Genomic DNA, 19,633 nt, shown 5'->3' with positions numbered 1-19,633 from the left:
AGAGGCTGTGCCTTCTCCCAGGAGCTGCCTCTTGTCTCTGGGAAGAAAGGAGGGGAGTGGGTAGGGAAGAGGAAAGACAAATTAAGTGCCATGTGATTCTGTAGAGGTGACCTCCCTTCCTTTGTCCTCTGCACCCCCAAACTCTTTTCCAGCTTGGCACACAGTATGTGGTGGACGTGGCTCACCATGCCCCACACCTCCCCAGGGGCCAGTGGCCTGTGCTCCCTGTCACTTTTGTACAGCTCCTTCAGGGAAGGCCACTGAGGCAGGCAGGAAGTCTAGACTGCCACTGCCAGCCAGTGCCTGCCTGGGAAAGGCCACTGTGGGAAATCTACAAAGGATTCTGGGCCATCCACGAGGGCAAGAAAGACAGGAAGGAGGCAAAGATCTTATCATGGACCAGAAATATGCCTGAACCCCAGAAGAAAGAGAGAAACGGGGCATGTTACATGTGCCAAGACCATGCTCCCAGCCCTGACACTGTGGACAGTCCCCAAGATGTGCCAGGCTGACATGGGCTGCCCAGCATGGCCCCACCTAATCCCTGTGTGGGGTCCGACTCATAGGTCCTTCCACAGGGCAAGAGCAGGAGTCTGGGCAAGCCCCAACTCTGCCACCTGCTCCCTGGGGAACCCGGCTACATCAGTCTATGTGCACTGGGGTGCTCACCTACAAATAACCTACCTGCACAGGGGTCTGCAAGGATGAGGCGGAAGCAGGCATGGGAGCCCACAGCCCCTGAGAGCACCTTCCCAAATCCTGCACAGCAAGCACCTCAGCAGAGGCGAGGCCCTGGGGGCCTGGAGCGTCTTATGCTGCCAGAAAGCAAGAAAGAGCTCAGACAATGATGGGAGCACTCCACTGGCACAGACACCGACTCGAAGGAGCTCCCAGTGGCCACGTCTGGGACAGTTCCAGCAACAAGAAGATGACAGCAGTGGACTCTACTCCACAGGATAAACATACATGCAGGCGTCCACACTAGTGTAAGTAAACAGGTGAATAAATACATGGGAGCGTGGGGGAAGCTTTCCCTTATTAGTGAGTAATGGAACTCACTAATACATTTAAGAGAAATGACGGAAAGACAGCCACCCCTGAACACGCACCATGGTGACAACTGGCAGGCGAGGATTCCCAGGGTGGGAAAGGGTGTGATGAGAAACGATGTCTGACAGTCTCAAGGTTTCCCACAAAACGCTGACGAATTACAAAGAGGAAGAAAGTGTTAACTTTAGAGCAGAGGCACCTGGCTGAGCAACCACAGTCAACATCACCAGGATTGGTCCAACTGACCTAGGGATCTCCAGCGACATCGCTTATGGGGGATTTGTGCCAAAAACGCATATACTCGATTTAAAAAGAAGGAAACATCAGACAACCCCTCATTTAGGGACAGTCTACAAAATAACTGAAAGCACTCTTCAAAGGCATCAGGCTATGAAGACACTAAGGAACTGTTCCACATTGGCGGACGCTAAGGAGACATGCTGGCCGCGTGCCACGTGGGATCCTGGGTGGATCACAGGATAGAAAAGCATGTTAGCAGAAAAATGGACTCAATTCAGATAAGGTTGGTAGATGAGTTAATTGTATTGTACCAAAGCTAATTTCTTCTTTTTGATGACTTACTGTAGTTAAGTGGGATGTTATTTGGGGAATATAGGTGAAAGGTACGCAGGAGTTATTTTTTTACTATTTTGTGACATTTTTAGATGTCTAAAATATTTCAAAGCGAAAAGTTTAAAAATGCTCTAAAGGAAATTAGAAATACACATAAAAAGGAGTGGCTATGGGGCCAGCTTGAGAGTCACACTAGTAAAGCCACCAGTAACCATGGAAACACACCGGGTTTAGGGTGAGTGTGAGAAGCCAGGGAGGGCCTCGGAGGGGCACCCCTCCAGGTCCTGTGTGCCAACAGGGAGGGTGAAAACAGTCACAAGGGCCCTGACACTTTCACAGCTGGCACAGCCTCCAGGCCACTCCTCCTGCGGCCTCAGGACAATGCCATGACCAGCCCATTTCGCAGATCAGGAAACCGAGGCAGCACACAGCAGGAGCATCAGAGTCTGGCCACACAGCTTTGCTTCTCAGCTCCGCCAGGGTAGCCAGGTGACCAGGACGATCCCTTCACCTCTCTGAACCTGAGGCTTTCCCCTGTAATATGGAAGCAATAAACTTCCCTCCCCGTATTAGTTTTCTATTGCTGCATAACACAAAACCATAAGCTTACTGGCTTCAAATAACACCCACTTATTAGCTCCTAGTTCCGTAAGTCAGAAGTCAGGACATGGCAGGACTGGGTCCTCTGCTTGGGGTCTCAAAGGCTGAAATCGGTGTGTCAGCCCAGGTGCCTTCTCATCTGCTCGGGGTCCGAAAGGCTGAAATCAGTGTAGCAGTGGGGTGCCTTCTCATCTTCCCTCAAGGGGAAACTCTACTTCCGTGCTCACTCAGGGTGTTAGCAAGAGTCAGATCCCTGCAGCTATGGCACTAAGATCCCTATCTCTCTGTTGACCATCAGCAGGGGCCACTCTCAGCTCCTAGAGGTCACTCACATTCCCTTCCACATAGTCCCCTCCATCTTCAAACCAGCATCCCCCGCTTCCATCCTGTGCTTCCAGTCTCAATCTCCAGGAAGAATTTTGTCCCCTTTAGGGCTTCCCTGATTAGGGCAGGGCCACCAAGGCTTATACTTTCTTAAAGTCTCCTGTGCATATAAGATAGCCTAGGCATGCAGGCGAAACCTGTCACAGTCACTGGTTCCTGCCACACTCAGGGGAGGGGGCTATACAGGATATGGGTCATGGAGGGTCTTCATATAGCAATTCTCCCTTCCACATTTGCTCACAGTAGGAAAAGCACACAGGAGGTAGTGAGCATCCACCCCTGCCAGCATCCCTGCTCCACTGTGCCAGGAAAAGAACCTTTGCCCACGGAATCCACGTCCAACTCCCATTTTCCAGCTTCTCATGTATAAAGAAGAAAACACAGTCCATCCTAGGGCACCCCAGGCAATCTCTCCGAGTATCCTGCACTGCCCCAGACTCTCTCTAAACAGTTCCAGGCTCTCAGCCCTGCTCAGGGTGAGACAGCACCTCTCAGGCTCTCGGCCCTGCTCAGGGTGAGACAGCACCTCTCAGGCTCTCGGCCCTGCTCAGGGTGAGACAGCACCTCTCAGGCTCTCGGCCCTGCTCAGGGTGAGACAGCACCTCTTGCACAGCCTTCAGGGCTCCTGCATGAGGATCCTGGGAGGAGCCTTTGGCTGCACCATGGGGTGCCCAGACACCACGTAGGTGCCTCATGGCACATACCCTTCCCTTCCCTCTCCTGCCCTTCCCTTCCAAGCTGAGATTGAGCCTCCTCTCCTGCACAGATCTTCCTCCGGGCAATGTAGTCCCAGCCCCTTTTCTGAATGAGCTCTGCAAACCCCAGCCCAGGCCCCACCATCTGTGGCTGCCACACCCTCTTCCCTGGTCTCACTCTGCTGCCTTCCTGGGACCCATTTCCACCCGGGGTGGCCAGCCAGAGTGACGGCTTGGAAATGTGCCCGATCACACTGTCTCTTGGTCTCTGTCACACACACTCACGCACACACACACTCACATCCCTCTCTTCAGACATCCCATGGTTCCCTCATGGCAGACAAGCTCCTCCCCAGTCCAGGAGGCCCCAACCGTCTGGCTCCCAGCTCCCCTGCAGCCCCATCCCGCCATACTCCTGCTTCTCTCTTGCCTCTGGCTCCAGCCGAAGCTGCCCCCACCACCTGGCCTTTGCACTGCCAATCTCTCGGCCTAGCATACCTTTCCCTTTCCTGCTGGGCTAGTTAATTCGAAGCCACCTTTTGGCTCTAACTCAAGTGCCCTCCCCTGGACCCTTCCCTCAGATCCCCAGATATGCCAACCCCTCCACAAGCCCGCAGGGCTCCAGGGCAGCCTCCCCACAGCTGGATGGGGCATTCGCCTATGAGCTGATGTGATCCAAGCCCATCACTCACCAGACGATCTACCACGAGGATGAGGCAACAGGTCGGTTTGCTGCGCTATTCCCCAAGCCCAGCCTCACCCCTGACATTATCATAGGCACTAAATTTGCTGGAAGGGAAGGAGAAAGAAGAAGGACAGAGGGAGGGATGGAAGGAGGGACGAAGGGAGAAATGACACGTGCCGTGAGCTATGCCTCTTTTTTCTACTCAGACTCTCAATTGTGGACAGAAGCCGCTTAATTCTCCTTCCACACCTAGCACAGGCACCCAGAATGTCAGCCCCACGAAATGTTAGCTGAGCCCCTGGGTGCTAAAGTGAACAACTTCCACCTCCTCCTTGCTAAAGATTTCACCAGGCAAGATGCAAACATCAGTTCAACAAAACAGAAAAAAAAAAATGACTGGAATCCCTCTTTTCCTATAAGAAAATAGCTGCTCTACACTAATATCCTCTGGAATAAATTGTTATTAGTTAATTTTTTAACACCACACAGAGACCAATCATTAACAAATGTGTGGGCTCACTTTCAGTGATGTATATTCCTGAGAACTCACACTCGGGCTCCTGCCCACTGGCTTGCTCATTTGCTCCAGGAATTTCCAACAGGGTGAGACTATTTAACCTGAAGCCATCATGGAACTCTTTGTTTATTGTTGTTTTTTTTGGGTTTTTCTCCCTCGATTTTAATTTTTTTATGGGAACATGGGAATAGGTATGAGGAGGGGTGCTAGACGTCACTATCACGTACCCAAGAGTCAATCAATATTTACCATGCACCTACTATGAGCATAGCTCTATTCTACAGACCAGGATGGAGCTGGAACAACACAAATCCCTAAAGAAAAAGGATGCAAATATACTCCCCAAGTAGAAAAGGGCTGGAAAAATATTACAGGAAAATAATCACATTAAAATGTCAACACTGTTTGAAGTAATGATCTTAAGGAAAAGGCAGGCTGTATTAGACTCCCAACGGGGAAGCGAGCGGGGAAAGCCAGCCCAGGTGAATGAGAGTGCAGGCAACGCTCTGAGCTTACCCCACATGGCATGGTATTAAATGTGCTCCAAAACTCACCCTTCCCATTAAAAAAAAATGAGCTAAATTATAAATTCTCCCTAAATCTTTTGTTATTTCACATCAAAGCAGAACCAGCTACTTGCAAGGATTAGGGGAAAGAACTAACCAAAGCAAACAGCTAGTGCTCCCTTAGCTCAGTGTCTACATGCAGTTTCCTTCCTGAGCCCAGAGGCAACCCTAAGGAACCCAGGGGCTGGTGGTCAGCTCAGCGCAGCCACAGCCTCACGTCCCAGCTGGAATGAGACTCAGCCTCTGACCCTGGGTCTTTTACCCAACTCAGTATTCTGACTGCCTCAAGCCAGCTCCCCCACTAGGAAATCAGGGGGCAACGCCTTGAGCGGAGCTTCCCGGTGCATGCCAGCAGTCTCCTGAACCAGCTCCAGGGCAGTACAGGGTGAAGGGAGGAAGTTCTAGAGGGATGCCTGATTTCACCCAGCAGCTCAGACCAGGAAAGCCCTCCCTCCTGCATCTTGAGGCCCAAAGGAAGACAAGGGCATCTGGGAGCCTCAAAACTGCACCAGATCAGAACCTCCTGCTCTTATCCACCAAGACATGGCCTTTGGTGAAAACTTCTCCACAGTGATAGGAGGAGGCGAATGCTAGCTCATGGTGACCAGGATCTTCCTGTGTCCCAGGAACTGTGCTAAACGCTTTACAGAATTCATCTCATCTCAGCATCATAACTGCTCGTCTAAGGGGGTATTAATATAAGTAAAGTAATCCTCATTCTGCAGATGGGAAAACTGTGGATCAGAGATGTTAGGTAGATCTTCCAAAGCCACACAGTGAACCCAGGCAGTCTGACACCAGAGACCACACATCTGCAAGCACCCCACAGACCTTGTCTGTTGGCATCCAATGTCAAGGCATCACCTTATCAGAGGTGGCAGGAGATTCCAAGGTGATTCTGACTCCAGGAGCCCACAGACTACATAGGGAAATAAGCCTAATGTGTGGATTACAAGACTGGCCCCAATTCTCCACCTCTCCTGTATCTACATATGACTTTCCTGCTCCCCCAACCAAAGGGGTCAAGTGTATTTCCCTCTCTTTGACCTGAAGTTGGCCAATAGGCTAACAGAATCAGCATAAGTGAAGGTTTCCAGCCTAGGCCCTAAGAGGTCCCATGTATCTTCACCACTACACAAGACTAACATGGCTGGTTTAGACTGCAGGTCCAAGAAGGATAAGAGATGCACGGAGAAGAGCCAGCCTGGACCTTCGACCCTGCCAACCTTCAGAAACCCAAGGACTGAAAGCTCAATGCTGTAGGGCCACGGAGGTCTGGAGAATGCTTTTGCAGAAGCCTGTGATACCTGGCAGAGAATGAATGGGATACAGCACAGAAGGGGACAAGTTTGAGAGGCCTGGCACTTATTACATATGTGCCCTGTCATTTTACTTGTCAAAATGTTATGCCCCTAGCCAGACCATGAGCTTCCCGGATGCACGATGCCCCTTTGCATACCCTCACACCATGCTCCATGCACACTGTAGTGCTTAATGCGTCAGCAAATAGGTAAGTAATCATGGCCGGGCCACAAGACCAAGATGAAAATTTATAACAGCATTTCCCCATTTCACTGAAACCTGTACACCAGCTTTGTGGTTTTTGGCATGCCTGTGTCTTCCAAGCACTACCTTCATGGTTTCTTCGCATATTTCTGTGTATTACCACCACTACATTATTACTATTTTCAAGTCATGTTCTTTTTTATGTAAATAAGCTTGATTGGAAAGAACACTTCTATAGGCCCCCTCTTGATGGAAAACCTGTATCTCTGGTTGTATATAGAGAATAACAGGAAAATAAAGAATGTGGGGTAGGGGCCAGGCAGATCCCCGAAAAACAGGTGACAAGACAGTCCTGACACCGTGGAGGTCATCAGATCTCAGAAGCTTTGCACAAAAAACCCGGCCAATAAACGTGCCAAAGTCAGCAACCATTTGACTCACGTGACTCAAGAAACGCAGAGTCACCCCAGGAGTAACGCTGCCTAAGACAATGCCTTCCTGCCAAAGGGAAGCAGAAAGATCATTTTTGGCATATCTTCCTGACTTCATTGAAACTCCAGAGCTAGTGATTACAATAAGGCAACAATTTTTTCTATATATGGATACAAACTTTCAAGAGATAATTGAACCAAAAAGTAATGCCATAACAATACAACTCATTAGGAAGAGTATTGCAAGACCAATGGTGACTTTTTAAAAGGGTTGTATTACAAACAGGAGCATAGTATGTATAATAAACACACTTCTTAGGTCGTATAGCCACAGCTCCCGTCTTCTCAGTGCAGGGCTGATCCATTTCGTGGCTGCCAACTAATCAACGTCAAAGTCTACAGATGTCGTGACCATTAGATAAGGTGCGTTGCCAAGCTACCCATCCAACCGACTTGCTTTAACAAACAGGAACACGAGTCCCAGCCCATTAAAGACGGGACCTTCAACAACTCTACAGACAGCTGATTCTCTGCCATCGCCTTGCCTGACTTTCAATACATAAATCTTGTCCCAGTGGCCATTCTGGTTAAATGAACTGGGAAATGAAAGAGTACATCTGCCTCTGTGTGCTTTTGTGACTACAGGTATGTATACGTCTGTCAGCTAGATGGCTGGAGCCAGGAATGGGGGTGAAACACACATATCTATTCCATGTAAAGGACAGAGGACCGCTTTCCAGTAAGTTGCAGGATGAGGGAGGCAGAAGCTGGGTGGTGCAGATAGGGATGGGCCAGGCCTCAGACTCACTTGGATTCAAGATCCTCTTTAAGCTTCCCCTTTATATAAATGTGACCATGGGCCGGTTACTCAGCCTCGCTAGCTTTCTGGCCCTACCTCAAGGGTTTAGAGGACTATTCAATAAAAGGAAGTATGATGGCTCCTTTTATAACAAGAGTTGACAATAAGCACATTTTCACTCCAGCCGTTGATCGCTGACCAGATGATTGGCTCTGTGAGGAACAGTGACCCTGCCTATCTTGTTCCCTGGATATTGTTAAATAAAATTTGAATGGACATAATGTTTAGGCTTGGATCACATATCTTAGTCCAACCTTTAATTTCTTAGTAATGGCACAAAACATAAAAACTGCTTCAGTCTTCCCATGAGATTCTTTCTATCTGAGGTTTGAAAGGGCAACTACAGGCCACATGCAGCTCCCAGACATGTTTTGTTTTGATCACATTGTGCTTTTATAAAGTTGATATGGCAGAGACTGTAGTTCACTACCTGATAGTCATTCTCACCCTCCCCTTCCGCGGAACCTGCTCTTGTTAGAGTAGCAATACACCTATCTTAAGCAAACAAACAAACAAACAAAAAGAAAAAGCTACACTTCCCAGGCTCCCTGGCAGCTGGGAGTAGCCTTTTGATGTCCTAAGACCAAGGAGGTATAAGTGGGTGTCACTGGGCAGTGCTCCCAAGAAGGCAATGTCAAACTCGGCAGGTGGACACCCCTGTGCCTCTCCCTACCCTCTTTGTCCTGCCTAGAAAATGTACTTGTTGCTGGAGGTGAAGCAACCATGTTGCAACCAGAATTCAGTATGAAATTCACTGAACGTCCCACCCTACGACAGGGACGCCATCATGCTGTCTGGACTTCTGGTGGAAGGAAAACCTTTATCTTCTTTAAGCCAGTGTTATTTAGGTTTTCTATTACATAAAGTCAACCCAATCCCTAATAGATAAACTTGTCAATATTTAAAAATCATATCCGATAGGGTTTGAATATTTGTCCCCTCCAAATCTCATGTTGAAATGGAATCCCTAATGTTGGAGGTGGGGCTGGGTGGGAGGTGTTTGAATCATGGGGGCGGATTCCTCATGAATGGCTTGGTGCTGAGGGAGTTCTCGTTCTGATAGTTCATAAAAGATCTGGTTGTTTAAAAAAGCCTGGCACCTCCCTTCCTCATCCCTCTCTTGCTTCCACTCTCACTGTGTGATGTGCTGGCTCCCCCTTTGCCTTCTGCCATAATTGGAAGCCTCCTGAGGCCTGACCAGGAGCAGATGCTGGCACCACGCTTCCCGCACAGCCCTCAGAAGCATGAGCCAATTAAACCTCTTTTCTTTATAAATTACCCAGTCTCAGGTATTTCTTTATAGCAACACAAAATCCTAACACAACATGTCATATAAAAATCTGGATTCCCAGTGTCACTCTTAAAACAGGATGGTCAGCCAGGCGCGGTGGCTTACGCCTGTAATCCCAGCACTTTGGGAGGCCAAAGTGGGCGGATCACAAGGTCAAGAGTTCAAGACCAGCCTGGTCAGCATAGTGAATCCCCATCTCTACTAAATGCAGAAAAAATTAGTTGGGCATGGTGGCGCGCACCTGTAGTCCCAGCCACTCGGGAGGCTGAGGCAGGAGAATTGCTTGAACCCAGCAGGCAAGAATTGCTTGAACCAGGCAGGCAGAGGTCACAGTGAGCCGAGATGGCGTCACTGCACTCCAGCCTGGGCGACAGAGTGAGACACTGTCCTGGAAAAAAAAAAAAAAAAGATGAAGATGGTCTCACCAACCTGGGCCCACATTTCCACAGGGCAAGAAGCAGCTCCGCCCCAGCAGGCACACACCCTGACCCTCCCACAGCGGAAGTCCCGGCCCTGCAGACGCTGCAGTTTGGTGCCCTGTGTTAAAGAGTTTTCTAGTGCATGGAATAGAACCCAGCTCTCAAATTCAATAAGAAAAGGTCTCAAACTAATATACTAGTTTTTTTCAAACTTTTTCTTTTTGCCTCTGTTCCTGTGACATTTCATATCCTCCCATATATGCTGCCCTGGCTAAAGCTCTGGGGAGGGCCCAGGACACACCCACTACCTGCACCGTCCCCTCCGGCACGCTTTGGCCATGCGACAGGACTAGCATTAACAAGGCTCACCTGTGTCATTCCAGACAGCCACCCTCCCCTAAAAAGCACCTTCCCTGAAGATATACTTGCAAAGGAAACAAACTCATCAGAGTAAAACAATCCCCGCAAAATACACATTCAAATCGCATTTCAAGACAACCAGTGTGCTATCCCAAAATTACCAGACCAGAGGGAATAACTTGTGAAGGTGGGGGACCCTAGGAGATTTCCATTCACAAGCTGGGGAGCCAGGAAGGGAGCCGGGGAACAACATCCGAGGCTGGGTGGACCTGGGGCCGGAGAGGGAGGCAGGGGTAGGGGAGACACAGCCTCCACAAAAGGTGAGAGTGGGAAAGTGTAGGGGAGGAGCCTTTTAGAGCCAGGGGCCCAAAATCCAGAATCAGAGCAGGAACCACATCCTCCTCCTCCTCCTCCTTCCTCCACCATTTGCTGAGAATGGCCCTGGTGCCTGAAGCTGTTCTGCGTCACTGAGGGACACGGTCCCATGACTCCTGCCTGGCCCCTAGCCAGATCAGTCCTGCTCTAACTCACATTTCACAGAACTCAGAGAGGCTGACCAGCTCAGCCAGGCACACAGAAGGGCTGGGGTCCACCTGCAGGCTGCGCCTCCTCCCGCTCCCTGCTGTATACATCACTGTGGTCACTGCCACCATGACTTTGTTAACAGAAGATGGAATTACCTCAAGGGGATTGGAGAATGTTTGGGGAGGTGTCTGCCTCCTAAAGCTGTGTCTCAAAATTTACTCATTGTTAAAGACAACAGCTCAGTTATCCTCACTCATTCTGAACTTAAGGACAATAATGCCTACCATTTTACATTAAAGGAAACTGAGATTCAGAGAGGTAAAGTGACTTGCCCAAAGTCACACAGCTTATCCATGGCTGAGCCAGGACTTGGACACATTTATTTAGCCCCAGGGAAAGAATCTCTTTGCATCTCATTGTTCTCTTGTCCAAAGAGGCCCTTCTGGCAAGGGCCAAGTGTGCTGCATTGCAGGTGCTCTGGGAAAGCTCACTAAATTGAAATAAATGAGTTCTGTGTGGATAGGAAATTATCTCTGCTGGGTACCCTCCCTTTCAGAGGATGAGATGATGAGACTAGGGAGGCTGAGGGTCCCTTCCCGCAGGAGAGCTCAAGACCACACCAGTCACTCTGGCACATCCATTCTGTCAGCATTCATTGGGGAACTACCAAGTGTTAGCACAGTGCTAGCACTGGTGACACAGCCAAAAGGACCACAGGCAAGGCCCTGCCCTCAGGGAGCTTACAATCCAAGCAGCACCGTCCAACAAAGCTGTCTGCAAGGAAGGAATGTTCTAGATCTGCACTATCCAGTATGGCAGCCACAGCTGCATGGGGCTCCCGCACACTTGAAATGTGGCTACAACTGAGGAAACAGAATCTTAATTTATTTTATTTTATTCAGATTCAAATTGCCACATGTAGTTAGTGGCTACTGTATTGGACAGACCATAAACAAGTTTGTCTAATAAACAAATGAGATCATCTCCAGGAGTACCAAGTGAGGTACTGAAAACAGGTTCCTGTGACCATGAGGAAGGCAGGTGAGGCTGGACGGTGCCCCTGGGCCTGACTTCCTCATGTCTGTTGTTCCAATGCTGACAGCTTCGCCAGGTACCTGGCAGATCCTAAAGACAAAGGGGTCCATTGTCATTGGCTTCTGTGTGGTGTTAGGGTGAGAAGGGGGCAGAGAACAGGAATTTTGTTTCTTTGGAGACAGGGTCTACCTCTGTCACGCAGGTTGGAGTGCAGAGGCATGATGTCAGCTCCATGCAACCTCTGCTTCCCCAGCTCAAGCGATCCTCCCGGCTCAGCCCCCCAAGTAGCTGGGACGACAGGAGCACACCATCACAACCAGCTAACTTTTTGTATTTTTTATAGAGACAGGGTTTCACTGTGTTGCCTAGGCTGGTCTCAAACTCCTGGGCTCAAGCAATCTGCCCACCTAGGCCTCTCAAACTGCTGGGATTACAGGTGTGACCACCATGCCCAGCTAGGAAAAGGAATTTTAAAGCATCCATTTTCTATAATGAACAGGCAATGCTTTCATAATCAAAAAAAAGCTCTGAGTTCTTAAACTCAGTATTTTTTAAGCATCTAGCTTTTATGTTTTTAATAACCCTGAAGAAGCTGACAAGGTAATTACTGCATAGTTCTACTACTAATTAAGCCATGTAGACACTCTACAAGGAGCCAGAGGGAGATCCTCAGAACCCAGGACTCCAGAATAAGAGAACATTCGAGGAAGGAAGCTAGAAAGAGCCATGGTACAGACAAAAGAGGCTCTTGCCTCCGCCCTCTCCCACGCCCAGGAAGGGGGCAGCATTAGAGGGTTTGAGGCAAAGGAGAGACTAGACCACATTTGCATTTTGGAAACTTCCTGTTCTGCAGGAAAACCGGTAAGAGGAAGAGAACCAAGACTCAGTGTTGAGGTTGTCCAGGAAAGGGAAGGTAGGAGCTAAACCCTGGTGGGGGTGAGGGTGGGGGTGGGGGTGGGAGACCTGAAACAAGTGGGGTGGGCTCCAGGAGGCCCGTGTCTGGCAGACCTGTGACCTTGGGAGAGGGAGGTGTCAAGAACAGAGCCTGGTGTTGACGGTGTGTGGGTGATGAGGGTGCACAGGTGATGAAGGAAGTGGCCATCAGCACAAGCCCACACCTGTCTGCTGGCAGAGTGGCATAAAAGAGGAAGGGGCCAGCATGGGATGCCCTGAGCCCAGGGCCTGGGGAATGTGTCTGTGCATCCGTCTGTAGCTCATGACAGGAGAGGATGCTCTGAGAGGGTCTCCCTCTCCAGGCAGTAAAGCAGACCTGGACCCGGCCCTGCAGAAGGATGCAGCTGCTGGCTCCTCTTTGCTCTCCCTCCAAGCACTCTCTGGCCCCATCCAGCTGGCAGGAGTGGCCAGTTGCCTGGCCAGGCACCGCCACATAGGTTGAGACACCAGCGCCTGGGGCTTGTGCCCATTCGTCCTACAAATGCTTACTGAAAGTCTCCTGCATCTGAGCTCTGTGCTGAGCTCAGGGGTGCAGCACTTCAGGTGATGGTCAAGCCCCCTGTCCTCAAGAGGCTCCCAGTCTAGAAGGGACAGTCCACAGAGAATGAAACTGACAAGAACCCCAGGTGTTGAAGAGTGCCAGGAGCAAATCAGAAATGAGATCAGAGTTCCCTGGGGTGGGGAACAGGTCTGAAGGACTGGAAGGACCGGGCAGAACACAGAGGTCTGGAGCTCAGAGCCAGAGAGTTGGAGAAAGGAGCTGGAGAGGCATGGAGCCAGGACAGAGCAAGGCAGCGACAGCCAAGGGACAGGGGATGGCTGGTGAGGAGCAGTGATGGGATCATGTTGAGGAAGGCCCAGGAGGCAGCCTGGGACCCGACAAGAAGGAGGCCACCATCGTGCTGGGGCCGATGCCAGGGGCTGGCCCCAGGATGTGGAGCGGGCAGAAGCCTAGTCCCAGAGCCTGAGAGCAGATGGAAGAAAAGGAAGCAAAACCCCTTGTGACCATGAGCTCCTCTGAAGGAGGAAAGATCAGGGGATGCTTCCTTACCTTTGATTAAATTTCTATTTTGGAAGAACACCTAACCATGCTCACGGGTGTAGAGTGCGGATTTATAGAGAGGCACATTGTGTAGATACAGACGGGCCCATTAACGAAGCAGTGGTGAAAGTGGCGGGAAGGTCAGGCCTAGGGGAAATATTTCATCCCCGCCACACAGTCCATGGCCACAGACCCGGCCATGGGAGATTTAATGAACTAATAAGGCCACAAAAAGACACTCATGCTCACTAGCAATCAGGGAACTGCAAATTAACACAACAAGAAACCATTTGTCACCCTTCATGCTAGAGAAAAATAGATTGATGATCTCAGGTGTTGGCAAGGGTTTGGAGAAAGGGCACTCTCATAGATTACGGAAAGTGTGAATTCGTACATTTTCTAGGAGAGTGCAATATCATTAAAATAAAATATGTGGGTCCCCTGTGGCCTCAACATCCCAAGAGCTGGCACACACCCACCCTAGAGGAAATTCTCAGGTGAGTACAAGGCAGTTTGTGCCCAGGTAATTACAGCTGTGTTGTCTGTAGTGGGTAAAAACTGGAAACAATACAAATATCCAATGGCTAAACTGAAAAATTGTTTCTTGGCATCCTGTGTGGGTGTTAAAAGGGAAAGGGAGATGGATATTGCAATGAGGCAAGATCTCCGAGACCCAGTGTGGAGCAGAACCACTCATGGAAGAGCCATGAGTCCAGCACATTCCCATATGCCATTTTCCAAGCAACACAAGTATATAAAACATTAGGAAAAGTCCAAAGGATGCCCCTCAATTCCCAGCAGGGGTAACCTCTGGAAAATGGGAGAAAGAGGTGTCAAAACATAGCTCACCTTTTGAAGAATGCTTTGAGTCTTTGCAAATACTGATGCATTAAAAATGCCTTTGCAGGGGAAAGGGTGAACGCAACCTTGGACTCTTTCATTAAATTATAGAATTTAGATGGGAGGAGACAGCTCTGCTTCTTAACTCTGTGTGAGGTTATTCCACAGCTGGAGCTTCAGGTTCAATTTTCAGGAGTCTCACATTAGAGCAGCAGGTGGACAAATAAGGGAGGCTATCTAGGAAGAGCAGGTGAAGGGCCTAGACTTTCCAAGAAGTGACTGAGGTTGTTTCAATACCTAAAACCCCAGGCTCTCTGAAAGCCCTGAGTAACACCCAGCAGGAGAAGATCCCATCAGGACTGATGGGTACCAGACCCTTTGGAACCATTGGAAAAAGAATTCTTAAACAGATCTGCCCAAAGACAAGTATGCACTACATCAGGAAGAACTGAGTCCACCATCAAAAGAAGTATGCAGGCACACACCAGGCCAGCCAGGCAAGGTGCTTACAGAAAATACTCCCTGAGCCCGCCCTTCCTCCATCAAGTTCCCAAGTTCCCTCCAACTTGATGATTCTGATTCTCTTTCTGCCAGAACAGAAACACAATCTGCTTCACACAATCCATAAATACTTAATTGCTTGGTGCTTTTTAGTAAGGTTCTACTGCTCACAGAATTGCACATATTTTAGACTTTTCACCTCTGACACCTGTTCTCTGGGTCCCATTTAGACCAGTTGCACCAGAGGAGAGCTCAAGCCTGTGCCCTCCCACGCATAACTTAATCACAGGCATCCCAGCCCTTCCTCCTCCTTCTCTCATGGACCGGCACCACCTGCCCAACCCTCCGCTCCCACCCACAGAGGCATAAACTCACATACAGCCAAAAAGCCAAGTCCTCCATAATTTCCATTTCAAGTTTGCTTCCTCTTACTGCCAGGGAGACAAAGGGAGCTTAGAAGGATTCTCATGAGAAGCCACTCAACTTCCATGATTGGAACAGTTGTGGATGCGCCTCTCCAACCCAGAGAAAGGCAATCCATCATGGAGTGCTGAAGGCTGAATCCCCCATTCCTAGTAAAAGGATTAATTAAAACCTTAAGGGTCGGCCATGGCAGCCTCTGCTTGAAACTCTAAGGAAATTAACCTGCCCTCCCAGATAAAGAAAAGTCAGAGATTTATTCAGGCCGGTACCTTAGTTTGACCAAGTGACACAGTGTCAATAGTCTTAACAAAGAAATCTTCCAATACTTGCCCGGGTTTATTGTTTAAATTTTCAAATGGGGGGGGGAGGGATCCAGTGCCCACACAGCTGCCTGTAATGAGTCCTCTAGGCAGTTTATCGGGAAGCTCTGGTGTGTTCCAGTGCAGGAATCCCTCCCCACAAAGCCAGCCTTCACCCGGGCCCCAGGGATTCTGATGCCCACCATTTAACATCATCAAGTCCCCATCTGGGGTCGTTGCATTTAGAGAGAATAAGTCTTCAAAGGCAGGCGAAGCAACTTGTTATCAAAACAGAATCTACGAAGGAATTGTGCTTCTCTAAGATACAAAACTGAGTCCTGTGGCTTGATACCAAAACACCAGCTTTGATTCTTTTTTTGAACCCTACATTTCAGAAGCCCAGACTTCTCCCTGTGAAGTGAAAATTGCCTTCTGGTGGAGAGAGGTTTTAATGATCACTTTGCTTCCTGCGTCTCCATGGTGACAGGCGCACACAGCCCACCCCCCCCCCCACCTCCCCCCCCGCTTTATTAGGCCTTTCTTCCTCTCTGGAAAGTAATCAATCAAGCCCTATAGACGCCTTTGTGACCGGTTTATCACCTAAACAATCAACGCTGCCATGGGGGTGGAAGAGTGGACGGAGTCCACACGCTGTCACGAAACCGGGCTCTGTCCTGGCGCACGCCCTTCGTCTCCCTGCCGGCGGCTCTGCCCAGCACACCTGTCCGGGGGCTAGCGCGCCCAGGTGCGCCAGGCCCCGCTGGAGTCAGGCGCCTGGTGGAAGCCCTCAGCGCGGTGGCCTCAGCTGCGGAGCGCTGCCTTCCAGGAGCAGATGCCCAAGCGGGGACGTCCGGAGCTGGGGCCCGGCAGTGGGGAGGGAGGGAATGGCCCAGAACCGGCGCTGGGCGGAGGCGGCCACGGGTCTGCCTCTCTTCCCCCAGCCGGTCAGCACCCGAGGAAAGGAAGCCTCCTTCGAGGGGACGGCAGAGCTCACCAGCCGGAGAGGAGGGGAAGCTGCAGCGCCCGGCTCTACCCAGGAAATCAGCTCTTTTATGGACAAAGGGCTCCGAGGCGCCCCAGCCCTGCGAGACTGGGGATAGGAACCGCGGGGCCGAGCGCGGGTTCCTGCCGCGGCTCCCCGAATGCAGGCGGGGCGCGGAGCCTCGCGGGGTCCTGCTCTCAGCGCCACCTGCCTCGGGCCTCCCCGACCCGCCCGCCGCCCCCGCCCAGCCCGTTACCTGGGTTCTCCCCGGCGTCCGCGGAGGAGGTGGCCGAGGAGTCGGTGAGGACGCTGGGGTCACTCTGCGAGCGGCCCCGCGACACGAGGCAGCCGCTCCCGTCCTCCGACGCGGCCATGGGCCCGGCCGGCGCGGGGGCAAGTTAGAGCGAGCCGCGTGGAATCAGAGCATCCGAGGCGGCCAAGGTCACCGGCGAGGGGGCTGGAGGGGGCGTCTTTTTAAAAAAGAAAATTAAAAAAAAAAAAAAAAAAAAAAGGCCGGGAAAGGAAACGAGCTGGAGAAAGACGCCGGGGCTGGCTTCAGGGCGGGGAGACAATAGCCTCGCCGGCTGCAGCCAGGCGCATCCCGGCGTGCGCGGCCTCGCTTTGTTATTTATTCGTGTTTATTCCCATTCTTCAGTCTATATTCCAGGGAAAAAAAAAAAAGTTGAACCAGGAAATAAAAACTTTTTCTTGTCAGTGTTTATTGCGTGCTTGGGGCAGGGGGTGATGTCCTGGAATGTCTGGGGGCGCTCCCTCCCCCCACCCCACCCCCCACCCCCCCAGGAAAAAAGGGAAAAGGAAGAATCTTTGCTCTTGCAATTGCTTTAATCTGAAAGCTGTTCTTGGAGCATCTGTTGGAAAACATTAGGATTCTCCCATCATGCCGCGCGAGAGGAGCATGACGTCACGGGAGAGGGGCGTGAGAAGGCGCGTGGCCACTGGGAGGGGTCGCACATACCTGGACCGCGCGCCGGGGTGGGGGAGGAGGGGCTGGACCCCGGGTTAGGAGCCGCCCACCCCACCAAGCCGTGCTCTAGAAACAGGAAAGCTTCCTAGTCCCGTTTCCTCCCCTCCCGGAGGAAAGGGAACCCTGAGAGCCCCTAATTTCCCCAGCAGCTGCAGACAGCTGGTTTCCCTGGTCCTTCCTCTCCTGGGACTGGGAGGCCAGTGGGTCCCGACGCGCCCACCCCGGCACCGGAGGGGAGCGACCTGAGGCTTCCTCCCCGCAACCACCTGGCCTGGGCCTGCTAGGGCACCCCGGACCCTCCGAACCCTCGCTCCGAACCCTCCTCCCTGCCGGGGGGCGGGGGGGCGGGGGAGAGGGAGGAGGGCACGGGCGCTTTCCAATGAGGCTTTTCCTCAGACGCCCTTAGGAACCTGAGGGGCCAGGCAAGGGAGGCGACACCCCCCAGGGCTGCCACTCACAGAGGTGTCCTCCAGGGTGCTAAGGAGCGATTCTCACAACCCCAGCGGTGGTGTGGGGTGAACACAGGCAGGCAGCCGCTGCTTCCCCAGCCAGGGCAGGGAAGGAAGAAAGTCCAGGAAAGGGGTAGAGACGGGGGTGGAATGGTGGTGTCACCTGGCCTGGTCCTGGAAGGTGCCCAGAGGAGGAGGCATTTCAACAGACACCAGGATTCAAGGACCACAGAGACACCTGGGGGAGGACACCCCCATTTCAATTTCTCAACCCCATGGGGCAGCCCCGCTCTAAGCCCCCTTTGCAGGTGCTGGAAGGGGTGGGGGCAAGCGGGGAGAGTCGCTCACCAAGGGTCCTCCTGCTGGGGACAGAGCCCTCCCTAAGGCTGCCCCCATCAGATTAGCACCTACAGCAGGGCCTGGGAGTGCAGTGTGAGCGCTGGCAGTGTGGACGAAATCCCGGTTAAGCGCCAAGGACAGAACTGAGCGGGGTGGTGGTGGGGAGGGGGAATAAAGTGGATGTTCACTCCACACAGAGCTTTGGGCTCTTAGCAGCAGTTATTTCAGCAGCATCAGTCACCTCTAAAGAAAGGACTCATTCATTCATTCAGACTGTGTGCAGAGTCGAGTGTGTGCCAGGCACCACACCAGGCATTAGGGACCTAGCAGTGCACAAACACAGAGACGCCCCAACTCCTTGAGTCTTCCGGGAAAGGGGGAGGGTGAAGCCGAGAATGGTCACCAACACACTAATAAGATGCCCAAATAATCATTTAATTACAGTTGGCAATTAAGATCAGGAAACAAAGAGGAAACTGGTGGGAAACTGCTAGGAATAGATACGTTTTATCCACATAAAAATGTGCTGGCTGGATGGTGAAGTGGCCTGCCAGCCTTGGACTGAGCATTTTGCATGGGGACCTCATTCCTTCCTACAACTGCCCTGGTAGGTGAGAGCTACTGTGGTCTCCACTTTTGAGATGAAGGCAACTTCAAGAGGTGAGCACTCTTGCCCAGGTTACAAGCCAGCACGTGGAAGAGCTGGGCCACAGCCAATGCTCTTGGCCCAGGGTCTCTCCAAGTGGGTCTTCAACACCTCCCACTCCAAGTCCCCAGGGGCTGTCCTGACACACTGAGTACTGGCCCCATGGGAAGGTTTCTGAATCCTTGCCCCCAACCATGCCTTGGGCCCCTTCCGAGTCTGGGTGAGTGAACACCTGAGACAGTTCAGTTCCATTGGAAGGAAGCCTGCAGCTGACCCAGCCACGGCAGGTGCAGAAATGGTGGGGATGGGCAGGAAGGGATAGAGCCCAGAGACTGGCTATAGGTGGGGGGGAGGAGAAAGATCACACCAGAGGTCTCCAGCTGTCTGTCATTTGCCAACCATCCCTATGATTTTTAGCCTTCCCTATTTAAAACCTATCCTTCCATCCCTTAAGATTTGTCTTTAAATCAACTCTTTGCACTTAAACATATTTTTTCTTTTCTCTCTCTCTCTCTTTTTTTTTTTTTTTTGAAAGAGTTTTGCTCTGTTTTCCAGGCTGGAGTGCAGTGGCTATTCACGGGGGCAATCATAGTGCACTACAGCCTCAAACTCCTGGGCTCAAACAATCATCCCACCTCAGCCTTCCTAGTACTTGGGAGTACAGTGTGCACCTCCAC

General features: G+C 51.3%; 1 protein-coding gene across 8 annotated transcripts in view, besides 1 other annotated feature; it reads right to left on the bottom strand.

The window, feature by feature from the left end:
* The window catches only part of PHACTR3 (phosphatase and actin regulator 3), a 270,203-nt gene that overhangs the window by 225,786 nt on the left and 24,784 nt on the right, over window positions 1-19,633 (bottom strand). For 2 of the 8 annotated variants that reach the window (NM_080672.5, XM_011528526.3), the window contains exon 1: window positions 16,794-17,386. The exons of 5 other annotated variants lie outside the window; for them this stretch is intronic. In NM_080672.5, the coding sequence (NP_542403.1) occupies window positions 16,794-16,911 (118 nt within the window). In that variant the 5' untranslated portion in view covers window positions 16,912-17,386. Of the gene's footprint in view, window positions 1-16,549; window positions 16,695-16,793; window positions 17,387-19,633 lie in introns of those variants that run through there. One more of the 8 variants, XM_017027631.2, reaches the window with a different exon arrangement.
* Window positions 17,565-17,765: a silencer, noted in NCBI's record as "peak4290 fragment used in MPRA reporter construct". NCBI's record gives its function as "represses an SCP1 promoter by STARR-seq MPRAs in K562 erythroleukemia cells {active_cell/tissue: K562}" and the evidence as "EXISTENCE:reporter gene assay evidence [ECO:0000049][PMID:32103011]".

Source organism: Homo sapiens, chromosome 20 (genome assembly GCF_000001405.40).
Source record: "Homo sapiens chromosome 20, GRCh38.p14 Primary Assembly".
Lineage (NCBI taxonomy): Eukaryota > Metazoa > Chordata > Mammalia > Primates > Hominidae > Homo > Homo sapiens.
The sequence above is the reverse complement of the archived record's forward strand: the minus strand, read 5'-3'. Positions and strand labels throughout refer to the sequence as shown.